The sequence below is a fragment of the Homo sapiens genome, chromosome 11, assembly GCF_000001405.40.
Source record: "Homo sapiens chromosome 11, GRCh38.p14 Primary Assembly".
NCBI lineage: Eukaryota > Metazoa > Chordata > Mammalia > Primates > Hominidae > Homo > Homo sapiens.
Genome location: NC_000011.10, coordinates 125,413,428 through 125,440,580, shown reverse-complemented (window position 1 = coordinate 125,440,580; position 27,153 = coordinate 125,413,428). Strand labels below are relative to the sequence as shown.

Sequence of the window (27,153 nt, the reverse complement as noted above, 5' to 3'; positions counted from 1 at the left end):
TGCTACGTGCTCAATGAAGTGTGACTTTTATTTTTTCCTAGTAAACTTTGAAAAGAGAAAGTGCTGGTTCTGTTGCGTCTTTAGCCTTGGGGACGTGACCATTTTTTCAATTCAACAGGCACAAAAAACCCGAAAACAAAATCAAAACAAGACAAGTACAACCTAGCCTGTTGCCCTAAAACGAGCTTTTTTTTTTCTTTTTCTGAGATGGGGTTTTGGAGTTTCACTAGTCGCCCAGGCTGGAGTGCAATGGTGTGATCTCAGCTCACTGCAACCTCTGCCTCCAGGTTCAAGTGATTCTCCTGCCTCAGCCTCTTGAGTAAGTGGGATTACAGCTGCTTGCTACCACGCCCTGCTAATTTTTAAAATATTTTTAGTAGAGATGGGGTTTCATCATGTTGGCCAGGCTGGTTTCGAACTCCTGACCTCAAGTGATCCACCAGCCTCGGCCTCCCAAAGTGCTGGGATTACAGGCATGAGCCGCCATGCCTGGCCTAAAACCAGCTTTACACCTACCCTTTATGCTCATTAAATCCTGCTTAGTGGTAGCCCAGGGAGCCCTGGTGCTTGCGGATTCTGGAACTAGCGGCCTCCAAGTACATCTGGACAAGAAGACAAAGTGAAGTGGCAAGAGTGGGAGTGTATTCTGGCTTCTCAGCAGGTTCATTCAAGGGAAGGGGTGGAGGAGGGATAGTGAAAAGTCACATTTATTTTTGAGCTTAGAGAACAGACTCTATTTCCACTGGCAAAGAGATGGGTGGGTTCACAGAAGAAAAACACACAGACCACTGCAGACATGCTCAGGGAAGCCTCCTGTGCTTTATGGATAGGCAAGACAGGTGGGAACATGAGGATTAGTTGAAGAGGTTGGAGAAAGGTCCTGTAGATCTCCTGAACTGCTGCTGCTACAAATTACATAAGCCCTGAAGACCACAAGTATGCAGTCTGGAGGGTTCCTACATATTCCCTCTGTCTGCAGAAGGCAGAGCTCAGATCACTGGGTGGAAGTTGGAGGGATCAGTTGGCTCTGTGTAACAACTTGGGTTTCTTTGCCCTGGGAGGTAGTGCGCAGTGTAAGGTAAAGAGAAATGACATTTTTTTTTTTTTTTTTTTTTGAGACGAGGTTTTGCTCTGTCATCCAGGCTGGAGTACAGTGGCATGATCATGGCTCACTGCAGCTTCAGCCTCCCGGGCTCAAGCAGTCCTCTCACCTCAGCCTCCTGGGTAGCTGGGACTACAGGCACGGGCAACCATGCCTGGCTATATATATTTTTATTTTTATTTTTGTACATATGGTGTGGGGGGGGTCTCACTATGTTGTCTAGGCTGGTCTCAAACTCCTGGGCTCAAGCAGTCCTCCTGCCTCGGCTTCCCAAAGTGTTGGGATTACAGGTGTGACCCACTGTGCCTGGCCAGGAGATGACAATTTAGTGTTCCGTGGGCAGGGTTCCTATATGGCACGGGTGAGTTGGGATTACTGACCCACAGTACCCTTTTCAGGGCTGAGAAATGATTTTTTTTTTAAACTCTAGGCTTGGATTCTTGTTAAGACACAAATTCAGCTGAGACGAGCAATACTGAGAGCATCAGGTGTTTTCCGCTCAGAGCGACTCACTGCAGGTCCTTTTGTGGAATCAGGTTGAGAATCTCTGGGGTGCTATTAAAAATGCACCTACCTGTGCTGCACCCTGTGAGTTTCTGATTCAGTAGATGGAGAATAGAACTTGGGTGCCTGTAACTGAAGCTTGCTCAGCAATTCTAAAGTGCATTCCAGCTGAGAAGCCCTGGGTTAGGGGTTGGAGGAGAGATGAAGACACCATTGGATTGGGAGGTGGGGAAGATTCCATCATAACAGAGCAGTTATTTAATATTTCACCTCCTTCCAAAATGTGTCCCCACACGATTCACAGTGTTCTCCAGTTGAAAAGGAAGCCAGACGTGTGAAGCTGTCTGGCTGTTGGAAGCTGGGCAATGATGTCAATGTCAGCTTCTCCAGCAGGGTGGGTGGCTTCCAAGGAGAGCAGCTGCATTCCCAGGAGAAGCCGAGAAGCTGCTAAGCTGTCATCCACAAGACTAGAGTTTCATGGACTATCAACCGAAGGGGCTCCTAGTGCCGTCTCCTCTAATCCCCTCAATATGCACATGAGGGAAGTTGCTTCAGATGGTCCCTGTGTGTAAGGGAAAGTTACGGGCAGAATCTCAACTACATCCAGGGGAGCCCAGTGTTCTTTCCTGTGCAAAGGGGTCAGGGGAGGTCCACAGATGGGCAGAGCTGGCCTTAAATGAATTTGGTAGAATAAAAATTTTGCAATACATCAGTGGAAACAGCTAGAATTTCTAGAACCTAGAAATTCACAGGAATAACAGGTGGATGTGAGGTATACACACCTGTAGTAGAATCTCTGAATAATAAGATGAGAAAAATGCAAAAATGAAAAGGTATAATGAGATACACATAACTGAAGGGAATTGTCTTAAATGGCTGATTGTAATGAGATGTACATAAATTGTAAGGCTTGTAATGAAATGAAAAGAAATCATATTCTTGCCTGATAATACTGGGTGTAATGTCTATACCAGAAATAAGTTGTCTCAGTGCATTGAGTGTAATGAGATGCACATAATTTTAAAGAGCGTAATGAGATGAAAAATAAATCAAACACTTGTCTTAAAATGAAAGATGTACTAAGATGCACACACCTGAAGGGCATTGTCCTAAATGGGTTCGATTTAATGAGATGCATTTAATTTGCAAAGGGGCTAAATGAGATTGGCCCAGAGAGAGGCTGAGAAAAAGTATAAGATACGCTGGAAAGTGGTATAATAAAACCTGCCTCATCTGTGGGATGGAAATAAGATGCCAAAGTGGAAATGGAGCGTGTGAGGTGACCACCATTCTGTCAGTCCTCGGTGCTCGGTCCCTTGGTCTGTGATGCTCTGCAAAATTCATCATCCTTTGTCCCTCATAGGTTACCAGGCACATAGTGGGCACCCGGGAATTTGTACTGAATGAATCACTGGCTTGAGGGTGGTAGTGTATCTGGCTAAAGGAAGTTAAAGGAGCAGCTATAAAGCAAGGAGCTTCAAAAGATGATTGAAAATTATTTTCTTTTTTTTTTAAATTTTTATTTTTGAGACAGAGTCTCACTCTGTTGCCCAGGCTGGAGTGCAGTGGCGCTATCTCGGCTCACTGCAACCTCCACCTCCCAAGTTCAAGCGATTCTCATGCCCCAACCTCCCAAGTAGCTGGGACTACAGGTGCATGCCACCACATTTGAGTAATTTTTATATTTTTAGTAGAGACAGGGTTTCACCATGTTGGCCAGGCTGGTCTCAAACTCCTGACCTCAAGTGATCTGCCTGCCTCAGCCTCCCAAAGTGCTGGGCATGAGCCACCATGCCCGGCCAACAATTGAAAACTATTTTCTGAGAGCAATGCTCCTCCAAGTCTTTGGGCATCTTGCCTAGCTATCTGGGGCAAACACCGGTTGTGGAACCTACATTGTATCTATAACAAGCAACCCTGGTGATTTTTATGCCTCTAGCCTCATTGTTGCCTGGGGAGGCAAGGTAGGCAGAAAATGTATGAGTGAAGATATCTGGATACGAGACACAGGTATACTTTGCAATGAAAGGTAGGAGTACTTTTATGCCCACAAACAAATACATTCTCTCCAATATTTTGTACCAAAGGCAGGGCCCTCCCTCTTGGACTATCTTGTTTTCTTACTCTTTTTTTTTTTTTTTTTTTTTTGAGATGGAGTCTTGCCCTGTCACCCAGGCTGGAGTGCAATGGCATGATCTCGGCTCACTGCAAATTCCGTCTCCCAGGTTCAAGTGATTCTCCTGCCTCAGCCTCCCGAGTAGCTGGGATTACAGGCATGCACCTCTATGCCCAGGTAATTTTTGTATTTTTAGTACAGACGGGGTTTCACCATGTTGGCCAGGCTGGTCTCGAACTCCTGACCTCATGATCCACCCGCCTTGACCTCCCAATTGGTCAAACTCAATTGACCTCAGGCCTCCCAGTTGGCCTCCCAAGAGGCCAAGCAATCCTCTTGATGGATTAATGAGTAGAGATAAATATTTCCCTTCTTAAAAACAACCACTTAGCTATTACAGCAAAAGGGGGTTTAAAAAAAAGGACATGGGGGAAGCTTAACTAAGCCACCAGCCACCCAAATAGTGACAGCCAATAGTAAATAAGCAATGAACCCTCAGCCTCCGTGTTGGGGAGACCACAGGGGCTGCGAATGTCCTGATGACACAGAGAACGTGCCTTAGGGGGCAGCAGTTAATTCAACTACACTCAATCATGGCCAAGTGGGATTATATAGGTCCCAAGTCGCCTGATTGCCTGATTTTTCAGGAGAAGCCAGGAATCTGATTTTTTAATGTGTAACCTTCTAACTTTTAAAAGTTGGCACACAATTTTTAGACAATATATGGCTCAAAACAGGTCTGAAAATTGAGCTTAACCTGAACCTCACAGTGGAGCTGAAAGCTTCCTGCTTTGCAACTCTGAATGAAGAAGTTTGAGTTCTCTGTGGTAAGGATGAGATCATAGTTATAGCCATTACAAGGATGCTACGAGCACTCTTTCAGTCTCAATCTTTTTCTTTTTTCTCATGCATATTCATTTTAAAATAGTAGAGATGCGGGCAGGTGGGGGCGGGTCTCACTATGTTTCCCAGACTGGTCTTAAAATCCTGGGCTCAGTGATCCTTCCACCTTGGACAACCAAAGGGTTGGGATTACAGGTGTGAGCCACCGTACCTGGCCCAGTCTCAGTTGTTTCTAGTAGAATGTAAACTCCCTGAAGTAAAGAACGCTGTCCTTGTTAGCCACAGGTGTATTCTTGTAAAACAGTGCCTGGGACAGAGTCGGGGCTTGATAAATGCATGCTGAGATAATGAATGACTCATCAGGAATGAATTGGAGCAGGCTGCAGTGTGGTGGTCATTGCCCTCCTGGGGCCCCATGCAAGGCAGGAGAGGGGATCCTCGGTCAAGGAAGTTGAGCTCTGGCCACCAACTCCCATGAGCAGGATCTCTGAGCTTGAAAAGTCTTTCCTGATGGGTCGGGGGGTGGGGGGCAGAAGTCAGTCTGAGAGTTGCCAGAGCCCTGATATCAGAGTTCGGTTTTGGGTAAAGGAAACCTTCCCCTACCCCTCGCCCTGTCATCCATCTCTTGAATTTCCACAGGGATTATGGCGTGTCTTTTCCTTGGGTTGGGCAGCATTTGGGTCATGCACAGAGAGAGGTTGTTGGCTCCTAAAAATACAACTACCTACATCTCAAGTGATTTCAGAAACCCCTTTTCAGCCGGGAGTGGTAGCTCACGCCTGTAACCTCAGCACTTCGGGTTGCCGAGGCAGGCAGATCTCTTGAGCTCAGGAGTTGGAGACCAGCCTGGGCAACATGACAAAACCCCATCTCTGCAAACACAAAACAAAACAAAAAAATTAGCTGGGCCTTGTGGTGCATGCCTGTAGTCTCAGCTACTCAGGAGGCCAAGGCAGGATAATCACTTGAACCTGGGAGGCGGAGGTTGCAGTAAGCCGAAATTGTGCCATGGTACTCCGGCCTGAGTGATGGGAGTGAAACCCTGTCTCAAAAATAAATAAATAAATAAATAATAATAATTTTAAAAGGCCGGGCGCAGTGGCTCACACCTGTAATCCCAGCACTTTCGGAGGCCAAGGCAGGTGGGTCACCTGAGGTCCGGAGTTCAAGACCAGCTTGACCAACATGGAGAAACCCCATCTCTACTAAAAATACAAAATTAGCAGGGTGTGTTGATTCATGCCTGTAATCCCAGCTACTTGGAAGGCTGAGGCAGGAGAATCGCTTGAACCCGGGAGGCAGAGGTTGCGGTGAGCCGAGATCGTGCCATTGCACTCCAGCCCTCCAGCCTGGGCAACAAGAGCAAAACTCCATCTCAAAAAAAAAAAGAAAAGAAAAAAGAAACCCACTTTCAGTTGGCAGCGTGGTTGAAAAGATGGCTGGCAGAACTTGATAGAAAAACTTGGCGGGGAGAGTGTAGGACAGGCTACTCTGCAATTTCTTTAGAATAGTGTTCCCTAAAGTGTGTTTTGTGGAATATTGGTATAACTTGAATAGATATTACTTGAAAAAAAGGGAGGTGGAGCAAATCTCGGAACAATTGAAACAAAGTTCAACAGGTTTCTTTCCTGTAGGACTTTTTAGAGCCTTTAGTATAATAATGTGCATGATGAAACTCTACTAACAAAACAGAATATGCAGTTAATCTTAGGCTAATTTGGGCATGGATTTTTTTTTTTTTTTTTGGTAGCATATCTTTCAACAGTGTGTTCCTTAGAAACCACTGTCTTAAAGGACTGTTGTCTTCCCAGCTCTGGAGGTGAGGTTCCAATCATCGTGCAGTTCTTAAGATTTTCTTCCTCTACCTAGAGAGGCGGGGTTTCTGTAGGGTTTGCAGAACTCTCTCCAGGTGTGAGGAGGGGGAGAGATGTTGGGCTCCCTGAGGGCAGTGATGCAGGGAACTCCACCAGAGCTGGTCAGAGCCCACTTCGCCTGTGTAACCAACCACTGGCTTCCCTATCTTCCACCTGGCCATGGGGTGATCTGCCAGTACGTGCAAACTCTCCAGCATTCCTGAACATGAACAAGGCACTCCCTTCCTGCTTCTAAACAGATGCCCCAGACCTCTCAGCAAGTGTGGCTAAAGAAGGTACCCTCTCGTCTGGAGCTGACAAGAAGGCCTGCCTCTCACTTCTGTGTGGAGATCAGCTGCCTGAGTTTCTTCTTGCCTGGGGGATTATGGTGCTGATCCCTGGGATTCAAGGCCGGGAATGGAGACAGGAAAGCAAAAGCCTTTGAGGGAGGTGGAGTATGGTGGACAAGAGGGACCAGATTCATAGCTTCCGCTGCGGTCGGGGAAGCTGTCAGGAGAGGGCAGTGCAGAGCTTCCTTGCCTTCTCTCCCTAGCTCTGCCTTACAACCGGCCGCACACAAGGTGAGTGTGCTGAAATTGGCTCTTCCTCCCCAGACAGGGCAGCTGAGCTCACGCAGGACGCACATCTACCTTGTCCCCTTCCCTGGGTAGTCAGGTGTATACTGAGGCCTCCAAATTTTGTCTGGCCTCTGGTCCCATGAAAAGAGCAAAGGATTGCCACAGCAACCACAGAAAGAGAATTGTGCACCAGGGTTACGGTAGGTAATAAGATTTACTGAAAACGTCTCGGCCACATTCAGTACTGGTTTGGTGGATACATCAGAAGGAGGTTGCATAACATTAGGCAGGTGGAGGGGCTGAGAGGAAGAGATGTGGGCACCTGTGTGCCAGTGTGTCCGTGCTGGGGGACGCCTGTCCAGGTGGTGAGTGGAACGGTGTGTGTGTGTGTCTGTGTGCGCGTGTTAACAAGAAAAACGAACCAGAAAAGGAAATGCATTTTATCCCACTGCACATTGCAAAAGTCTCACGCCAAAAAAGCTAGACTTTCCTCTATGTATGGCATCAAAAGGGAGTAAAAAATGATTGGATCACCCAGATTATAAATAAGGTTATTTGTTTCTCAAAAATCCTTATTAAAACATTAAATATCAGCTCTTTTGGGGGAGAAATACATTCATTTCAGGGAGACCTCGGAAGAGTGACCATCCTTTTGCTCTACCCCAACCAGGTGGGGGAGGGGAAGCCCCAGAGGGCCCAAGGGGTCCCCTCCAGTTGAGCCAGGTAGCCACTCACATCCTGCCACTGAAGGAGGTGGCCAATGCACAATTTACAAATGAAACTGCACGTCCATTAAATTAAACCCAATGGAAAACACACGTGTGACCTGTCCTGTCATTCACAGCCATGGGGTGAGAGGGAACCGGAGGAGAGGGTGCCAACCAAGGGGGTCTGGAAGGTGGGTGGGAGGGTATGTGTTAGGGTGGACAGTGGAGAGCCTCCTCCTCCTTCCAGGAGCCCCAGTTCCTCCAGGGCTGTGGATAGCAGGGTTAGAACAGCTGGGTGGGGTGTGTGGGATGGGCATCCCCGCAGGCTCTTGGGTGCCATTCTCTGGGCCCTCCCCCACATTTAGGATATTGATGGGAAGAGGGATGTAGCACCTTCTCCAACCCCTGGCTTCCCACTGGACTAGATGCTTTCCAATGTTTCTTCTGCCTTCCCTGAAGGACAGAATGAAGAAAGGAAGCTGGAGGCTGATGGAGCCAGGCTGGGAGCAAAGGGATGGCCGTGGCGACCTGCGGGCTGGAAAGATTCCCAGATAACCTGGTTTCACCTTCTCTGAAGGTCTATGGAGGGCGTGGAGCACTGAAGGTGGGAACATCTAGGGTAAAAAACCATTGTCCTGTTGTTAAAGGAGCTAAGTTCTGTGATCACCTAGGGACAGCTGTGGCCTCAAAGTCACCTCCATATGGTTCCTAGCCCAGGGTCTGCCATCTCCTTGGCTCTTGGAGTCAACCCAGAAGGGACTCCTCTTAACCTCCCACAGGTTGAGCCCACCAGCTTACAGTTGGTTTCCAGGAGAGAGTGAAGGGCACTGTGGCTCCCATCCCTTTCTCCCATGTCCATGGTTGCTGTGCGCAGAGACAGGGCCTTGGAGGGATGAGCTGGAGCCTGGTGGATTCCATCCCATTCTGATCTGCAAGATGTGATGCCTCAGGCCCTCCCACTCCTCTGGCCACTGGTTATGCTTTGGGGCTCCCTCCTGCCCTTGAATGTCTGTCAAAGGAGCTGAGAAACTTCTGGGGATGAAACTCAGTCCCCCTTTGTCTCTCCCCTTCCTTCTAAGTCTGCCCCCGGGCAAAGGCCTACTCTGCGAACAGCACCAATCTGCCTCAGTGCAGGGCTTGTAAACAACTCAAGTCCTTCCGTGGGTGGGGGCCATGGGTGCCATCTATCCTCAGGGATTTGGTGAGTCCAGATCTCACTCCTGTCTTTCCACACAGGCTGCTCGACTGGCCCCGCCAAACAGAGTCCTCGGCAGTTCCAGGGAAGTGGGGCTGGGGTCCTCATTGAAGCTCGGTGGTTGGGAAGGAACAGGTGTCTCCTTTGCCTTTCTTCAAGCTACTGATTTGGGGAAGCTAGGGCCCAACTCCCTCGGTGCTTCCTGCCCATGTCCCCTTCCCCCCCACCCTGAAGGCCTCCCGGCGACACTCCTCTCCTGCTCAGTGATCAGTGCCATCTGGGCTGCCCGACTACTCCAGGGAGTCACTGTGTTCCAAGCCCAGGTCGCTGACATTTGTCGTCTGCAGCTCGTCGACCTCCTCCTCCAGCTCCTCCTCCTCCTCCTCTTCCATCTCATCCTCATCCTCTTCTTCTGTCCCATCCAATGAGTCATCGTGTGCAGCCATCATAGCCTGCTGCATGGCCATGGTGGCACTGTCTGAGGACAGGGACTGCAGGTTGTCCAAGTTGATGGAACCTGCGAGAGAAAGCAAGGGTCAGGACGAGGCAGGGGCTGCTGGTCAGGGCCAGCACCTCTGTGTTGGACAGGGTTTAATGGACTGGCTCATAGAGCAGTGAACTCCTTGTTTTTAGAGCTGTCCAAGCCTGAGCTGGACAATGCCCTGGTATGAAGTCTCCCATCCATTCACTAGTCAGCTACTCCCTGCCCCATCTCAGGAAGCAGCACTCCCAGCCACCGTTCACTGCACATTTTCTTTATGTGTTGGCCACTTTTGACTTTCTAACAATTCTGTAAGGCAGGTATTATTATCCCCATTCTGTCTCAGACAGTTAAGTCATTAGCTCAAGATGACATTGTCAGCGATGACAGAGTTGGAATTTTCTCCCAGGCTGGTCCAGCCCCCTAAATCTGTTTTTTTTTTTCCCATCATAACCCATAAGATGGCTCATCACAAAGGAACCTGTGCACAACCATACACATACACGTGTGCATGAGGTTATGTGTGCACACACGCACACCTACGCTCCACTCCCCATACAGAGCTATCTTCATATGCCAAGCTATAAAATGCTTGGCTCATTGAATTATTCATTGTGCACTAGGCGACTGGCAATTAGAAAAGTGTATATGGAGGGTGTGATGGAGAGGCTGGGAAAACAGAGCTCTTCCTGGCCCCTGTTCACGAGCCAGCTGCCTGCCTTGATATTTATAGATGGCCTTGGCTCCTGAAGAGCTGTGCAGATACTTACTGGTGCTAAGGAACTCAGATGGGTGCGGACATGGGGGGCTCTGCTGAGCAGTCACTGACTTGCGTGACCACCAACTCCCGCTTTTCTTTATGAGAGTGCATCTGGTCTGTTAAATTATGTACAAAAACATCCCCTTCTTTAGGGCTTTGGGGAGGGATAATCACTGTGGCATGGCAGCGATGGGAGCCCAGGTAAGGAGATAGCCCTTGAATCTTTGCACGGCTTGACCTGAAGAAGCTCCAGGAGCACCCCCAGCCCTTGTCTAGGGTGCACTCAGCCCCAGTTCTTACCATCGGGGTTTGTCCCTGGGGCACCGCCCTGCTGCTGCAGCACCCCCGCAGCGATGGAGTTGGGCCAGAATCTTTGGGTGGGCCGGTGCTGAGACTTGATCTTCTTGGCTTTGGGGGCAGGATCTGGGTTGCTGGCATCAAGCATGGGCTGCAGGATGCGCCTCCGGGCATTGATGAACCTGCCCAGAGGTAAAGTGGAGACCTGGTTAGTCATCACCTGCATGGCCTTGGGGTGGGGGCAGGGAGGGTGAAGCTGCCTTCAGACTCCATTTCACAGAGCAGACCGGGGTTCCCATCCCGGATGTAAAAGCCCAGCAAGGAGGAGGGCCCTGGGTGCTGAGAAGTTCATGAAATTTCCTGGGGCTTGGTAACTGCAAAGTCATATGGGAAGAATGCATGGGGGGTCAGAAATCCCTGCTCAAGACCTTCCAGGTTGAACGGAGGAGGAGAGCATGGTAGTCATAGGCACTAACCTCTGACTTCTCTCCAGAGAGCCAAGGGCTCGGATCAGGGCCCTCAGCTCTGGGGTCTACTTCCATCCAGCCAGACCTTGCTCTCTGAGCTCCCCTGACAGCCCAGCCAGGCACAGAGACTGGGAAAGCTGAGATCCCTGTGGGGTCAGAATGGCTACTCCTCCTCCCTCTCCCCACTCCCAGCTTTGCAGCTAGTTTTAGTCTCAGTTCACATGGGGGTGGGGAAGACCAGATGACCACTGGCCTCCGGTGCACAGCTGCGGGCAATCCTGTCTGTCTCTGAAGTGCAGGTGGGCTGGGTGCTCAGGTGGGCGTGGGTTTTCTCTTCCTCAAGAAGCTTCCAGGGATGTGCCTGACACAATGTCCCAGCAGAGGGCGCTGAGAAGCTGCAGATGAAGCCACAGGTGCCAGTGTTGATTCTTGCTTTCTGCTTCTAGCCTAAATGGGGGGACTGGCATGGTAGCTGGGCTGAGATTGAGGCAGATCCTGGCATTCGAGTCTCTTTTCCCTGCTACGCATTCCCCTGCCCAGAAGGTGGCCCCTGGATCTGGGAGCCTGCATGCAGGTGATGCAAACTCACCAGTTGTTTACTTGCAGGAGGGTGAGGTTGGTCTGGGCTGCGATCTGCCTCTTCTCATCCTCCGTGGGGTAGGGGTGCTGAAACGAGAGGTGGAGACTAGTGAGGGCTGGGCATATGCTGATCTGGCCCCCCCAAGGGACTGTGCCCACGCCATGGGCACTATCCTGAGCCAGGCAGCCCGAGTGGTTTGGGAACCAAAATTGGGGAAGTGTCATGTTTGCTCCCCACAGAGAATGGACCTAGGGCTTGGAGGAAGGTTGCCCCATGCCCGAGACTCCACATCCCGGGCTGGCCAGTCCTCAGCCAAGCCCCCACAATGGGGAGCCAGGGAGGTTTCCCAAGACCAAGATGGTTCAGTACTGACAGCTTCCAAGGCACATCCTTCTCACTTGATCCTCACTGCCGCCCCCAGCAGGCAGGGCAGGCATTGTCAGTGTTAGGGTTTCCAATGGCCTCAAACGCCCATAGAAGGTGGTAGGCGGGGTGAATGGATCAATTTAAGTTAACTGCTATTTACTGAATATCTACTATGTGCCCAGATTTATGCTAGGCATGGCTAGGAGACAGAAGAGTACTACTTGTATAGTGCTTTATAACCTGTAAAATGCTTTCATGCATTTTATTCATTAAAAAATCATCATTTTATTTAATAAAGCACATCATTGAAACTCTGAAAGGCAGGCAGGTTAGGTATTGTTATTCCCACTTTGCAGATGAAGAGATGGAATGACTCCTCCAGTGTCCCCCAGATGGTAGCACCAGCTCAGGTCTTCCGATTTGGGTCCAGTCTTTCTTCCATTGCTTCATGATGCCACTTTATAGGACTGAGTGGAGGTGAGAAAGAGAGCAGGGCAGGTGTCTCTCTCAGTCCCCCACATGCTGCAGCCCGTGCACTGACTACGCATCTGTCTCCCTCTCTCAGACTGTGCTTCATGACGGCACTGGGATACTGAATGTATCCCCAGTGCCTTCCACATACAAATGACATACAAATGCCTGCTGAGTGAAGGAAAGCAAAAGCACAGCACTCAATGCTGTGGTTTGGGTGATGAGCCCTGTAGAGGCTAAGAAGGAGAGAAATGCAGTGGTGGGGAAGACTGAACAGGTCACATTAAAGAATGAGAAGGCTCTGGGTGGCAGTGGGAAGAGAGTCGTGACCCCATTGGGAGGGAGGCCACAGGATGGCTGAGTCTATGCATCCCTAGGACTTGTTCAGGCCACAGCCCTGTGCCTGGCACCCAGCATGCAATTAAGGTGTGGCGAACGTCTGAATAAGTCAGAGTTTTGTCCTGGAAGCTAGGGGAGGTTTGGGGGCTCTTATGGCAGAAGATCAAGCCATCCAGCATCCTCAGGCTAAAATCATTCCTTTTGATTGGAGTGGTATTAGAAAGTGGTGCTTGAGCTGTCTAAGGTCCCCGAGATGGGAGGTCTCAAAATCTGGCTCTATTATGACTAGCTATGAAATCTCAGGCACGTCACCTAACTACACATCAGCAAGTCATCTGACAAATAAATGAAATTATACTTGTAAAATGCTCAATAAAAGGTACGAATACTCTTATTATCAGGGGGTGTTACAAGGTGCTTAGAACTTTCTGAGGGAAAAGGCTGCGGTCAGCAGCCTTGGTGGTACTCGCATTATCGGTGGAAAAGGAGGAGCAGCCTCTCCCCTACCTCAGCATCCCCCAGATGAAGCCATCAGGACCATGTGTTGCTTTAATTCAAACCTCTGACCCTGACCACCATGCCAAGGCAGCTGGGACTTGTGATTCATACGGTATTAAGATTCTAACAAGAAAGTAGGCACATCAGCATTACAGGAGCCAATTTTCATTCTAATTGGGAAGGAGCGGAGGCAGGATGGGAGGAGAGGGTGCAGATGGCCCCAGGGGGCAGAGAGGCAAGGACTCTGGGAGCTCTGACACCTTCTGGGGTCAAGCCCTAGTGCCTGGCTCCAACCTCCCTATTTGTGGGAAAGAGCCAAGCAGCCTCCCTGTCCATAGCCAGCTGGTCTGTAGACAAAAAGCAGCAAAAATATGGTGATTTTTTGGCCTTCCCAGGTGCAAGGGCCTTTCATGCCTCCATGCCTTCGCACGTGCTGGCCCTCCTCTGGAGCGCGCTTCCTCCTGCCTGTCCTCGCGTGCCTTTCTGAGCTTCTGTGAGGGCCTGCCACAGATCACAGCCTCTGCAAGGCCCTTCCCGACTCCCTGAGGCAAAGCTGGTCACCGTGGCCTCTGAATGATTGCTTTTCGCCCACTAGATGGCAAGACATGTGTCCCCCACTAGGCCATGAGCTTCTCTCAGGCAGGGACCCCATCTCATTAGACATTGTTTATTTCCAGTGTGCAGACCAGGCACAGTGTGCAGACAGGCAAAGAGGCCAACGTTGAAGGATTGTGTAGTGAACTGAGGAATGAACTAGCACAATAAGGAGACGCAGACTTGTTTCTTGAGCAGAGCTAGTGGCCGTGCTGACCAGGCACAGTGTGCAGACAGGCAAAGAGGCCAACGTTGAAGGATTGTGTAGTGAACTGAGGAATGAACTAGCACAATAAGGAGACGCAGACTTGTTTCTTGAGCAGAGCTAGTGGCCGTGCTGGCTGTGCTGGTTCACCAGCCCACAACTGTTGGGCATCTGCCGCATCCTGGGTGCTGGCAAGTGAAAGATATCTGAAGTTAAGAACTCACAGACTAGATGGGAAGAAAAAAAGGAGGAAAAAGCCTCTCTATTAATGGGAAGTCTGTGCTAAGTACCCCTCTGGTGACAAAAGAAGGAAGTCCTTAGGGAAGGGGATTTCAGTTGGACTTTGAAGAATGGCAAAGCCAATCTAGTAGAGGAGAGGATGATGTTCCAGGCAGGAGCCTTGCACTGGGACTTATATTTAAGCCAGTAGGATGAAAAGTTCTTCCACTATTAACGGCCTCCAGAGAAGGAAATCCTCCAGCCTTCCTTGGAAGAATAATGTTTGCTGTCTCTAAGGAGCCTTCTGTTGTCGGGCCCCCATTCTGAGTGAATGTCACAAATACACAGATTAACATGCTCCAGTCCAGTGGGGAGCTATGAGAAGCAATGCCACCCAAAACTGGCTGGTTGCTCTCTTATGAATGAGGATAGAAAGCCCCTAACCACCGCCTGGTGCAAGTCCTCACCACCTATCCCTCCTGGACGTCCAGTATCTCAGGACGCACGCTGTGGGGCTGTGGGGTAAGTAGCAGCGTTTAGCAGCTCTGGGGACAGGTGTGTCAGCCAGAACATTCCTGGCACCACATCTGAGTGGTCATGGGAGCAGTCCAGCTCGTACACGCCTCAGACCACATGATTCCTGAGGACAGAGTCAAAATAGTCCTGGCCTCTGGACAGACCATGATTGGGTCAGCGCTACTTTTAGCACAACTGGCCAGGCTTGGGGCCAAGGAGGGGAAGAAGAATCAAATGAGATCACGCAAACCATCAAGGCACAGTGGCTGCTCTCTGATCATTATTGGATCACGGCAAACCATCAAGGCACAGTGGCTGCTCTCTGATCGTTATTGGATCACGGCAAACCATCAAGGCACAGTGGCTGCTCTCTGATCGTTATTGGAGGGAACTCCCTGGATTTGGAAGAGAAGGGCCCAGACAGTAGCTCTCTGGAAGTAGATAATCCTTCCTTGAAAAAGAAGTAGATACAGTTCATGAAAAGCAAGGAAAAGAAAAAGAAAAAGAAAAAGAGGTACAGAACAGACTAGAAGATGACAGAGCCTTCTCAGGGACAGCTGGAGCCTCACACGACTGGGCAGTGCTGCCAGGGAGTAAAGGACCTTCAGAGATGGGATCAAGTCCTGACCCACCCCTTAACATTGTGTGACCTTGACACACGCAAGTGACCTTTGTTTGTTTTATGTCTTCCATCCTTAGATGGAAGTAGCAAAACAGTGACTAACTCTTGGACATGGGGATGATTTAATGAGATAGTGCAGGGTAAGCCTGTGTGCTCCATTGACTCACTCTGTGCGATGCACTGAAGCCTCCCGGCATCATCTAGTTGAATACTCAAGGACTCTAGAGAAGGGAATTATGGTATTTACACCAAGTAGGTGTCTCAGGGCACTGTAGTTGCCACCAGGAAGTTCCGCTGAAATCTGACCTCAACTCTTTCCCATCTCTCTCTGATACCTCCCTTTATAGCCCCATAACGCAACTCTCCTCTGGACTAAACTGATACTAAAAGCATCTTTCAATTGAAAGAGTGAGTTCTGCCCAGGGGCTGGTTCAGAAGGAAGCTAAGCCAGTTCTGGTTCACAGGTCCTGGATATTTCTTTCATGCACAGCCCATTGGCAATTGTCCTTCCACCTCCTAGCCATGTAGATCTCACCATGAGGTGAGCCAGTTCACCAAGGGACACAGCAGATGGGAAGCCGCAGCCTGTCAGTGTCAATAGACACTGAGGTGCTGGTGGAGCGGGGCATGGAGGCTGATTCAGATCAGCGAGCTTCCATTAGGTTTCCTGCCATCAGCAGCGCTGCACCAGAGTCCACTACACGCTTTTCCCCTCCTCTCCCTCTTGACAGCTGTGGGGCCATGGGCTGCTGCCAGCCACCACTCTGGGGTGGTTCCACTCTAGGAGGGCCAGAGACCCAGAGGAAGGCAGCCAGGATGGTGGGGGCCCCAAAACGACCACATTCCATCACATCTAAGAGGCCACTGATGGTGGGATGTACCCAATTTCAGAGATGTTAAAATGGAAGAAAAAAAAAGTCTTTTAGAATAAAGAGAAGCACAATAAGTCACCCGAGAAACTTCTCTTTCTGTAGTCATTGCCCTTGTTCATGCTTTCCATTCTTTTATTTTTGCTCTCATTTTTATCCCTGCTCCCCTTAAAACTGAACACTCAGAAAAGTACGAAGAAAAGCAAACACCCATGTAACCACCCCCAGGTCAAAAAAATAGGATACTACCAGCACCCCACAAACCCCCTTCTGTCCCCCCAAACACCTCTCCAAAGATCTCCTGACTTTTGCAGTAACCACTTTCTTGCTTTTCTTTATAGTTTTGCTATCTGTGTTACATCCTAAACATGATGACCTAGTTGACATCAGGTTTTTGAACCTGATGTAAATGGAATCATTCATCCATGCTGGCTCTGTTTAACTGTAATTGTTCCTTTTAATCGCTGTGTAGTTTTCCACTGTGAAGACACACTGCTGTCCCATTCTTCACCTTCCTGCAATCTCAAAACTATTCTCTTTCCCTCTGGTTTCTGTGTCAATCTATGCTTCACAATGCCAGCAAGATGGGTCCTTCTTAACCTCCTCCCCATCCCCATCCCTGATAAGTGAAGCCCTCTCAGATGCCCCTTCTATGAGCTCTGAGCACTTGCCCTATCTAGGATTCTTCCTACTACAGGGGCTTTGGGTCTGTGTAGCTACCTGTCACCCCAAGGGGCAGGCTGCAAGTGTTTTGAGAAAAGGGACCATGTCTTTCTTTTCAACCCTACCTCACTAGCACCAAGGAAAAATGTGTGGCATGTAGTAAGTGTTCAGTATGCATCTGTTGAATGAACGAACACGGGGCCTTCGGAGTAACTGGTACTTCTCACCATTTCCTGTGGGCATCTGCAGGTTAAAGGTGAGTGGGGAAAGCATCAGTGATCGGACCTCCCAGGAGCTCCACCTAGAGGCAGGTTGCTCTACTCACTAATAATGCTGCTTTTTCAATTATTGTTGAACGTATATTCAGGGAGGATGTGGAAGAGAAAAAGGGGGTACTTAAGAGTCCATTAAGGCACACCGGTCACCTCTCTAAAGAAGACGTGGAGGCAGTACTGTTAGAAGTACGTGAGAACACGGACTCTAGAGTCAGACTGCCCAGGTTTGAATCCTTGTCTTGTCTCTAACCGGCGTGAGACCTTGGGCAAATTACTTAGTTTCTTCTTCTGTAAAATGGGAGAGATAATTCCACCTGCTTCAAGGTTGCTATAAGAATTAAATGAGTATATATGTATATATGTGTATATACATACGTATATATGTATGTGTATACATATGTGTGTGTGTGTGTGTGTAGCTAAACTGATCAGTATCAGTAAATGAGTTAATATACGAAAGCTATTTAGAACGGTGCTTAGTGTACTCTGTGTTTGTTAAATAAATAACAAATAAGTCTGTAGCTTGACGCATGTGGCTGTGTCTCTGAAGAAGCCACAGGTTGTTTCCTGGCAGATGGCAGGAGCCTCCCAGCAGCCCCTTCTGTGAGCATACAAATACGCTCATTTTTTCAAATGGGTTTTATTTCCTGCATGTACTATGATGGGGACATTTTATCCTAACCTGAGTCTTAAGCTTCTTGGGGAATGCTGTGAGGTTGTAAATCTCCTGCAGCCATTTTTCAGGTGGACTTTCTTAGAGCTGCAGCCCTCTGGGGTGTCCTGGGGCTCAGTGCAACCCAGGGGTCTCTTGCACACCTTCCCTTTTCAGCGCCTCCATGCAACCCTGCAGCTGACTTGCCTGTTGTCGACAAGGCTCAGTCTTGGATGGAGAAGCATCAATCCAATTCTTCCTTCCCTGGGGACACATTGCCAGCAGGGCACACACCCTGGGACAGCGCTACACCAGGGGATGCCTCCGACAGTCAAACATCACTCCTGGGGAGTTGGAGGGCAGCTTCTCTCTAGATCCCTACAGCGAAGGATGGGTGGAGAAAACACTCTCACCCCACAGGCAGGAGTCTGAGGTCTAAGATTTCTCTGGGACAAAGAGAGAAATGTAACCAAGAACCCAGCTGGCCTGACCTCCTTCCTCCTGGTAGCCGTACACTAAAGGCCTTCAGGCACAGATGCCTGAACAGCGTCTAGAATGAAGACAGTCGTGGCTGGGGTAAGGGGCCACAGTGTTCCCAGGTTTCAAGAGTGAGAATAAGGGGTGAAGAGGGTTTGAGGACCACAACAACTTGGAGCGAGGGGTCACTCCCTGTGGCCAATACGAATCATAGGGGCATTGATGATTATCTAAGAGATAATTGTCATCCAAAATGACCCCTCCTTTTTCTCTTCCTACCCAATCCTAAATCCTAGCCATCCTTCATAAGGCCCAGCCCAAATGCCAGCTTCTCCAACCAAACCCTGTTAACCAACATCTCAAGATTACACAGAGCTCTCAGGGTCTCTGTGTCCAGCTTCTCCCACAGGGCAGGAGCCCTCTACACCAGCGCTTTCCAGCCAGCATACCCCAAGAAGGTGTAAGTGTGCAGACAGCGGTGTCCTTGGCCCCGGATGTGGTTTGCAGAGTCTGGAGCAGCAAGGGCTCCCCGGCTGGTCTCCGGGCGTAAGCAGCCTGGTGGCTTGACTATCATTTTCTATGTGTGCTGACATAAAAAATGTGACATGCCGGCCTGCAAGGCCACCATCGTTCAGTGCATAGCCCTTTGCTCTGACGGGTAGGAAGGTGTTTCTGCTGAACACGTGGCCACCCTTCAGGCACTGTGTTTTCTAACATATTGTCAATCCTATTCATCATAGGTAGCATTTCTATCTCCATTTTATAAAGAGGAAAGCAATATCAGAGAAGTTCATTAACCTGTTCCAGATCACACAGTAAGTAAAATTAGAGCTTGGACCAACTCAAGCCTATCTGCCTCCAAAGCCCTTGCTCCTTGCGCTACACCATGCTGCCATAAAGGAACAGGCTGCCCGAGTCTTCTTTTCTGCAGGCAAGATATCCCCAGACCCCTCAGCCGCTCCTCACATGACATGCTTCCTGTTAGGGTCACTGGAAGAAACATCTCCCCATCCTGCCTGCCCCCTCTGAAGATGATTGTCAAAGAACCTTTTGCAACCTGATTCTAGTGCCTGGACACACTCTTCTGGCTCTTGAGCCACTCGAGTGTCCGTGCTTGTATAATAGCACTTGATTACGTCGTGGGTTGACCTCTCCTGGCTTATGTCTATCATTTATTTCCCCAATTACATGATCAACCCCCTTAGTGCTGAAATCACATCTCATACCTGAAATTTGGGTGTTCGTGAAGAGATATGTTATTTGGAACTTAGATCATGTTTTTTTTTCATAGACAGAAGTTATTCTAAAAACAGGCAGTTTTCCTGGCCAGTCCTAAAAGCCACTTTGGTTAAAGATCTGTGTTCAAGTCGGGAGGGGTCCATGGGCTTCAGGAAGGACAGGCGAGAGACTGCTCTCTGCTTTCAGGGTCAGAACTAGGCTGGGGAAGACTCCATGATTGATGCAAGTGAACCTTCAGCGTCTCCTTTTTGTGCCCTATTGACACGATGCCCCAGTTCCTTTTCTCAGAAGCCCCTGGGTTCTGTGTCACCCTACAGTCAGCATGCTGAATCTCAGGCCTCTGGGACCCCTGACTTCAGGGTCAAATGCCCTGAAACTATGTTCACAATGATCTAAATAAGCTTTCATCAGATTCTCAAAAGATAGAGAGGCTTAGAGAGGTTGAGAACAATTGTTAGAAACTTCTCTGCACCCCATTCTGGCTTGGCTCCTCAAAATGCTGTTAGAAAGTATTTTAACCTTCATCTTCTACCACCAACAAGCACTAGCATTCTTCTTTTTTTTTTTGAGATGGAGTCTTGCTCTGTCACCCAGGCTGGAGTGCAGTGGCGCAATCTCAGCTCACTGCAAGCTCTACCTCCCAGGTTCATGCCATTCTCCTGCCTCAGCCTCCCAAGTAGCTGGGACTATAGGTGCCTGCCACCACCCCTGGCTAATTTTTTGTATTTTTAGTAGAGTGGGGTTTCACCGTGTTAGCCAGGATGGTCTCGATCTCCTGACCTCATGATCTGCCCACCTCGGCCTCCCAAAGTGCTGGGATTAAAGGCGTGAGCCACCGTGCCCGGCCCCCATTTTTTTTTTTTTAAATAAAAAACTCAGCTTTTTTGGGGGAAATGTGGTGGGGAGGGAACAGGGTCTTACTCTGTTGTCCAGGCTGGAGTGCAGTGGCACAATCAGGGCTCACTGCAGCCTTGACCTCCTGGGCTCAAATGATCCTCCTACCTCAGGCCCACAAATAGCTGGGACTACAGGTGCCCACCACCATGCCTGGCTATTTTTTTGTATTTTTAGTAGAGACGGGGTTTTGCCATGTTGCCCAGGCTGGTCTCGAATTCTTAGACTCAGGCTATCCACTCACCTCAGCCTCCCAAAGTGCTGGCATGATTACAGGTGTGAGCCACTGCACTCGGCCTTTTTTTTTTTTTTTTTAATTTTTTCTTTTTTTAAACAGATGAGGTCTCGCTATGTTGCTCAGGCTGGTCTCGAACTCTCAGGCTCAAGCAATCCTCCCGCCTTGGCCTCCTAAAGTGCTGGGATTATCACTGTGCCTGGCCCCATTCTTCCCATGAAGCTGATCTTAGCTGAGTGGGAATAGTAAAGCAAGCTTTTGAACTAATTCGTACTAATCTGTGAGTAAATGATGGCCTCACAGCCTTTCATAGTCATTGCTTTGTACAGGGATTGGATAGTTTAAAATGGGTCTCTAATAGTGGAATTTCATTAAAAAGTTAATCCTTAATACGTATGCAAGTGGAATTTCAGACAGTATGAGGAAGTTAAAGGAAAAGGTAGCAGACAAAATATTCTGGAACAAAAATGGGCCAGTCTCCCTAAGCCATTTTCTTGTTTTTTTTTTTTTTCTTTTTTTTTCAGGGGTTCTTGCTTTCCTCCATAGGTTCCCCAAAAGTTTTGTGGTTTCTCTCAGCATTTTCCAAGGCAAGGCCAATTATGGGAACTCTCAATGAGACTGGAGGCATTTGTAGCAGTAGCGGTGCCTGTATCGGGACAAAGAACCTTCACGCCCATCCGCTTATTCTATTCTCACAACAACCTATGAGCTGGATATTGCAGCTCCTGTTTTACAGCAGGGGAAAGAGAGGCTTCACAAGGGCAAACAATCACCCAAGCTCGCCAAGCTAGGTAGAGGGGGTGGTGAAAACTCAACCCAGGTCCTGCCCCAGGAACCATGTCCTTTCCATAGGCTATGTGGTTTCTAAGAAACATTGCCATTCCTATGTCAGCCATGTGGATGGGTCCTGTAGGTGGGCCTTTGACAGAGATACAGCTAGAGAGAGTCAACCTCCAGTGTCCGTGGGGGACCAAAATTCATGGATGCTCAAGTCCCTGATATAACATGATGTAGTATTTGCATATAACCTACAAACATCCTCCCGTACATTTTAAAACATTTCCAGATTACTTACAGTAATGAATACAATGTAAATGCTATATAAATAGTTATTATACTGTGTTGTTTAGGGAATAATGACAAGAAAAAAGGCGATACATGTTCAGGACAGATGCAACCATCCACTTAAAGATATATTTTCAATCCAAGGTTGGTCGGATCCAGGGATTCAGAACCCATAGACACAGAGGGCTGACTGTCATCCCTTCAAGACTTAACACAATGCTCTGCGCAGGGGAGGTAGCGAGGCATGCAAAGAATGTGGAGTGACCAAAGGCAACACCGAGGCACAGAGGCAACTGGCTGGGCTTCACCTCCACGTGCCCTCCTTGGCCAGGAGCTCTGTGCAGTGCACCCGCTGTTCCTGGGGTACAGCCGCTCTGCCTCCCCCCAGCCAGAAGGAGCCCGGCATGTGAGGTTCTCAGGCTGGGGGAAGGATAGCTGGGCATCTGACAGAGTCTAAGAGAACAACAGGCACAGAATCATGCAGAGTATACCCGTCATGGCAGCAGGACTTATGAGCCAAGAAGTGAAAGCAACCCCAAAGTCCATCAACTGATAAATGAATAAACAAAATGTGCTACATCTGTACCATGGAATATGCTTCAACCACAACGTGGAATGAAGTACTGATACATTGTCCTAAGTAAAAGAAGCTAGACATGAGAATCCCACAATTCCATTTAGGTGAAATGTCCAGAATAGGCAAACCCATAGAGGCAGAAAGTGAATTCATGGTTGCCAGGGGCTGGGGAGTGATGGCTAATGGGTACAACCTTTCTTTTTGGGGTGATGAAAATATTCTGGAATTAGATGGTGGTGATGATTGCACAACTCTGTAAAGATACTAAAAGCCACTGAATTCCACAGTTTAAAACGGTAAATTTTATGGTACGTGAATTATGTTTCTATCTAAAAAGTCACACAGAGAAGGCCCTGGGTGTTTTTTGTGCACTCAGCTTTTGTGACCACAGCAGAGTTCATAGAAGGGCCCTGGAGTGAGCCCTCAGCTCCTTGTGGCTGAATGGAAGATGGGGTGGTGGATGGCAGAGTGCAGCTGGATGCCAGGCCAGGCTTCTGAATGTGATGAGTGGGGTGGGGGAGACATCAAAGGCAGCATCGCTGTGAGGTCTGAAGACCGGGACTGGACATGTAAAATCTCTACACCTCTCCCAGGACGGGGCTCCACGCCTCTGCTGGGCGTTGGGGTTCCCCTTTGCTTTACCCAGACTTTGCATGGGAGCCAAGAGATGTCTGTGGTTTCTTGGGTCAAAGTGGTGGGTAAGAGATTAGAGCCTCCCGTTGCATAGGTCCGGGTTCAAATCCTGTGCCACCTGTCATCCATGTGACCTTGAGAAATGTGTTGCCTTCTTCGAGTGTCAGTTTTGTCACTGGTAAAATGAGGCGAATTGTATTACCTCCTCCTAGGGTGGTTGTGTGGGTTAAATGAGATGATGCGTTACAGTGTTTAGTGCAGAACCCGGCACGCTGCAGTGGCTAATGCAGAAGCGGCTCCTCTGGTGGATGGCAGGGCCTGCTGGGGCCTGGTCTCCAGGATCTCCCCGCACACAGAGCATATTCTGAAAAGCTGCTCATGTGCTTGGCTGGCAGCAGCACAGACAGATGTCATATTTGGGATGGAAAGGAGCAGAATCACGTGGCAGGTCAGGAAGACTCCAAGATCTGGAGCAGAAGGGGTGGAGTAGAAGCTGGGGATGGGGAACAGTGCCTACCTCTCCACCCTCCAAGAGGAGGACTCTCTGCCATGGGCTCTCGGCCGACCTGAGTCTGCTATGGAATGATTGCTTCCAGCAGGAGTGTGGCCTCTTTCAGCCAAATGCAAGAGCAAGAAAATGTCACTGGATTCTTCAGGGACTCAGAGGCGAGCAGCTAACGTATGAAACGATCCCAATCTCACTGCAGCCTAACAGCAAAAAGGCTCTGGGATTTCACCTCCATCTCAGGAGCCTTCTATCATCTGAATACTTTCCTGTAGCTGCCAGGGCTGCAGAACAGTAGAAATGACAAGAAGCCCCAGACATAGGACAAAGGGAACCAAAGAATACAAACTTATGCCCCAGGGAAAGAAGACAACAGGAACCAGTATTTACTACAGACATTCTCACAACCAATCCCTATTTAGCAAAGTTTGTGGATTAATCAATGCTGTTTCCACTTCTTCTGTAAATCATTAGAACTGCTGTCTGCAGCACTCTGAATGCTTGAGATGAGTAGGCTGTTTTGTAGAATGTCTGTTAGCCACACTACCTGCTTATCTGAAAGTCAGCAGTGCTCGTATGCAGACTGGTTTATGCCAATTCTATGTATTATTAATAAAGTATGTACGTTTCTGTAATTTAACAAACTCTTCTGTAAACCAATGAAATATGAGTGCAAAAAGAGTCGCTGTTGATAAGTAGAAAGCTTTCAAAAGTCTTGAGGCCCAAATTTGCTTACAAATGCTGAATAGTTAGGATCAGATGAGACAAACATAAAGGATTGGAATACATAATAAAAATCTGGAAAGATCTCGTGGACAGATTAGTTCCCAAACGTCAAAGTTGTAATTCCACTTTCTTTTTTTTTTTTTTTTTTTTTTTTTGAGACGGCGTCTCGCTCTGTCGCCCAGGCTGGAGTGCAGTGGCGGGATCTCGGCTCACTGCAAGCTCCGCCTCCCGGGTTCACGCCATTCTCCTGCCTCAGCCTCCCAAGTAGCTGGGACTACAGGCGCCCGCCACCACGCCCGGCTAATTTTTTGTATTTTTAGTAGAGACGGGGTTTCACCGTTTTAGCCGGGATGGTCTCGATCTCCTGACCTCGTGATCCGCCCGCCTCGGCCTCCCAAAGTGCTGGGATTACAGGCGTGAGCCACCGCACCCGGCCTGTAATTCCACTTTCTATTGAGGTGGAATTTATAGATGTTACAGTATAGGAGAGGTTTATGCAAGGAAGATGACTAACAATTAGAAAAAGACCTTAGTCCTGTATCAAAAGATTAGCAAATGAATGTATACGGTATGTCCATCTTTTAAATTAAAGTATCTCTTTTGAATGGTTGTTTCTTTTTTAAACTAATTTTTTCAATCAACAACAAATTAGTTGTCCCAGCTGCACTGGATGTGAGAACATCGATGGCATATTTAGGTCTGTCCTTACTTCATACCCTTTCCGCTCTTCTTTCCTAAAGCTGAGCAGCTCTTATTGGCCTGACACAGTGTCTCCCTAGAGTTGCATTTTTCAAGAATTACAGTCTCAGAGTTGTTCCTCAGAGCAACAGTGAAAACACCAAGGGGGATGTAAAGTGTTCACATAAGTTTGGGAGAAGCTTCGAACCTTACCCCTCTTGCAAATTCACCATGCCCCTTCGTCCTGTAAGAATAAAAAAAAATACACTATGGCAGGCCAAGGTGGGTAGATCACTTGAGGTTGAGTTCAAGACCAGACTGGGCAACATGGTAAAACCCCACCTCTACTAAAAATATAAAAATTAGCCAAGCATGGTGGTAGACGCCTGTAATCCCAGTTACATGGGAAGCTGAGGCAGGAGAATCGCTTGAACTTGAACCTGGGAGGTGGGGATTGCAGTGAGCCAAGATCGTGCCATTGCATTCCAGCCTGGGCAACAGAGTGAGACTGTACCCCGCCACCAAAAAAAAAAAAAAAAAAAAAAGCTAAACTTTATATAACTCAGATTGGCCCAAACTTATTTCACCATGGAACCTCTTTTGGGGTGCAAGACCTCATAAATCCTATAAAGCTCCGTACCTTGGGAATTAATGCTGTAGGGCTCCTAGAGGAATATAATGTATGATCCTTATTTCTGAGAAATTTACAACAGAGTCAGAGATGCAAGAGAGGCACACACATCTACCCAAAGAATGAGTAAGTCACAGTACTGTCCGTTACTCTTACGGTCAAATGATAGTAAAATCAGTAGGTGTTATAGATGAAAACAACAAATCAGCTATCTACCTCTGATTAATATTCACAAATTTTGGGTCTTCAGCCTCCAAAACTTGCTCTTGGTCCATTGTTCTAAAAAATTCAAAGGGAACTTATTTCTTAAGTGCTATGTGCTAGGCCTGGCTCTTTATATACATTTTCTCATTGAATTTTCACAACCATGGGAAATAAGTATTAGCTTCTTTTTTTTTTTTTCAAAGAAATAGAATCAGGGTAATCACACTGCTAGTGGGAGAGCCTCAATTCATGCCTCGATCTGTCTGGCTTCAAATCCTGTCTTCTTTCTACCGTGCCTAGTTATGAAGAGCCTTTATAGCCTCTTTCCTGAAGCAGCTGAGGATTGGGGAGGGTGTGTCCACATGTGCATGGCTGTGTGGCCCAGGTGTGGCCTGCCAAGGACAGCTGGGTCTGCTTGTTTCCCTAGAGCAGCCTGGACTTCTCATTTTCTTCCTTCCCTTCAGTCCCAAAGTTCTGAGCTCTGCCTTTAGAGGCCCAGTGGCCACTCCCCTTGCCTCTCTAGAGGCCACTGTGATGAACTGGGGGAGGACTCTGCCAATGTTAAGCGCGTCATGAATGGCACCTGCACCTGTGCCCACTGCCAGGCTGGAGAGGGCAACAGGGGTGGGTGGGAAAGTGTGGGCAGAAAGCCCCTCCTCATGCGTTTCGGCAAGTCCTCTACCCTATCCCTGGTGCTTTCTGTAGATGCCAGCCTGGGTCCTGCCTCACTCTGTGCTCAGCTACTACTTCCTCTCTTCTCCACCTCCCCTTCCTCTGCCTTCCCAAGTCTGGGTGGAAGTGACCATGGAGTGGAAAGACAGGACCCTGAGCTCTGCAGGGAGGCTCACAAGGAAGGAGATGAGAGGGTGGGGCATGAACCGAGGTCCCAGGTGAGAGGCCAGGCATGACCAGGAGGGACAGAGATGGGTGACCCTCCAGTCTCAGGCTAACGATTCCCAGGGGTAAGTTGCAAGTGGGGAGTGGAAAGTAGTGAAGGGGAAGGCCACAGATAGGGTGAGGAGAGTCAGTGAGCAGGTGCTGGCCTGGACACCTGGGCTCCTGGGCAGGGGAATCTGCCTTGCAGCTTCCTCTCTCTCCTCTTGCCTTTCTCCCCCTTCAGAAGTGAGGTTGTAGGTATGTTCACAACAGTCTTCAAAAACGCATGGGGGTGGGAGGTGGGGAAGGAAAGGGAGCATTTATTAAGCAATTCAGTGGGCCAGGGTCCTGGCAATCTTTCATTACTTCATCACAGTCTTCCTAAGAGGCGAGTGTGACCAAGTTGCCGGGTAAAAGGTAACACTGACCTCTGAACCCAGGTTCAGCTGCCTCAAAAGCCCATGAGCTTTCTAGCACCCCTGTGACCCTGCATCGTATGTCACCCACCACAATGAGCGCAGCCAGACTTAGCTCCACGAGCAGTTGGGAGCGGGTGGTGCTTTCATTTTGGTTGTGCCAGGTCAGTGCACAGAAGATGCATCCTTCCTCCCACAGGTAGGCTGGGAGCTGTGGCATGGACG

The 27,153-nt window shown here is 48.8% G+C and overlaps 1 protein-coding gene across 28 annotated transcripts in view, besides 4 other annotated features; it reads right to left on the bottom strand.

The window, feature by feature from the left end:
- Positions 6,814-7,108: a silencer, noted in NCBI's record as "tiled region #8813; K562 Repressive DNase unmatched - State 8:EnhW". NCBI's record gives its function as "represses a minimal TATA promoter and a strong SV40 promoter by Sharpr-MPRA in K562 cells {active_cell/tissue: K562}" and the evidence as "EXISTENCE:reporter gene assay evidence [ECO:0000049][PMID:27701403]".
- The window catches only part of PKNOX2 (PBX/knotted 1 homeobox 2), a 268,639-nt gene continuing 248,677 nt past the window's right edge, over positions 7,192-27,153 (bottom strand). For all 28 annotated transcript variants that reach the window (NR_168082.1, NR_168078.1, NR_168083.1 and 25 more), the window contains 3 exons: positions 11,493-11,569; positions 10,440-10,618; positions 7,192-9,415 (listed from right to left, as the gene is read on the bottom strand). Coding sequence is in view for 19 of the 28 variants with exons in the window: in NM_001382333.1 (NP_001369262.1) it covers positions 9,189-9,415; positions 10,440-10,618; positions 11,493-11,569 (483 nt within the window). In the remaining 9 variants the exon portion in view is untranslated. The remainder of the gene's footprint in view (positions 9,416-10,439; positions 10,619-11,492; positions 11,570-27,153) is intronic.
- Positions 10,969-11,872: an enhancer, noted in NCBI's record as "H3K4me1 hESC enhancer chr11:125298605-125299508 (GRCh37/hg19 assembly coordinates)". NCBI's record gives its function as "activates a minimal SCP1, AML or CMV promoter by ChIP-STARR-seq in naive H9 embryonic stem cells {active_cell/tissue: H9 hESC(naive)}" and the evidence as "EXISTENCE:reporter gene assay evidence [ECO:0000049][PMID:30033119]".
- Positions 11,088-11,377: an enhancer, noted in NCBI's record as "active region_5696". NCBI's record gives its function as "activates an Ori minimal core promoter by ATAC-STARR-seq in GM12878 lymphoblastoid cells {active_cell/tissue: GM12878}" and the evidence as "EXISTENCE:reporter gene assay evidence [ECO:0000049][PMID:35858748]".
- Positions 13,577-14,078: an enhancer, noted in NCBI's record as "H3K4me1 hESC enhancer chr11:125296399-125296900 (GRCh37/hg19 assembly coordinates)". NCBI's record gives its function as "activates a minimal SCP1, AML or CMV promoter by ChIP-STARR-seq in naive H9 embryonic stem cells {active_cell/tissue: H9 hESC(naive)}" and the evidence as "EXISTENCE:reporter gene assay evidence [ECO:0000049][PMID:30033119]".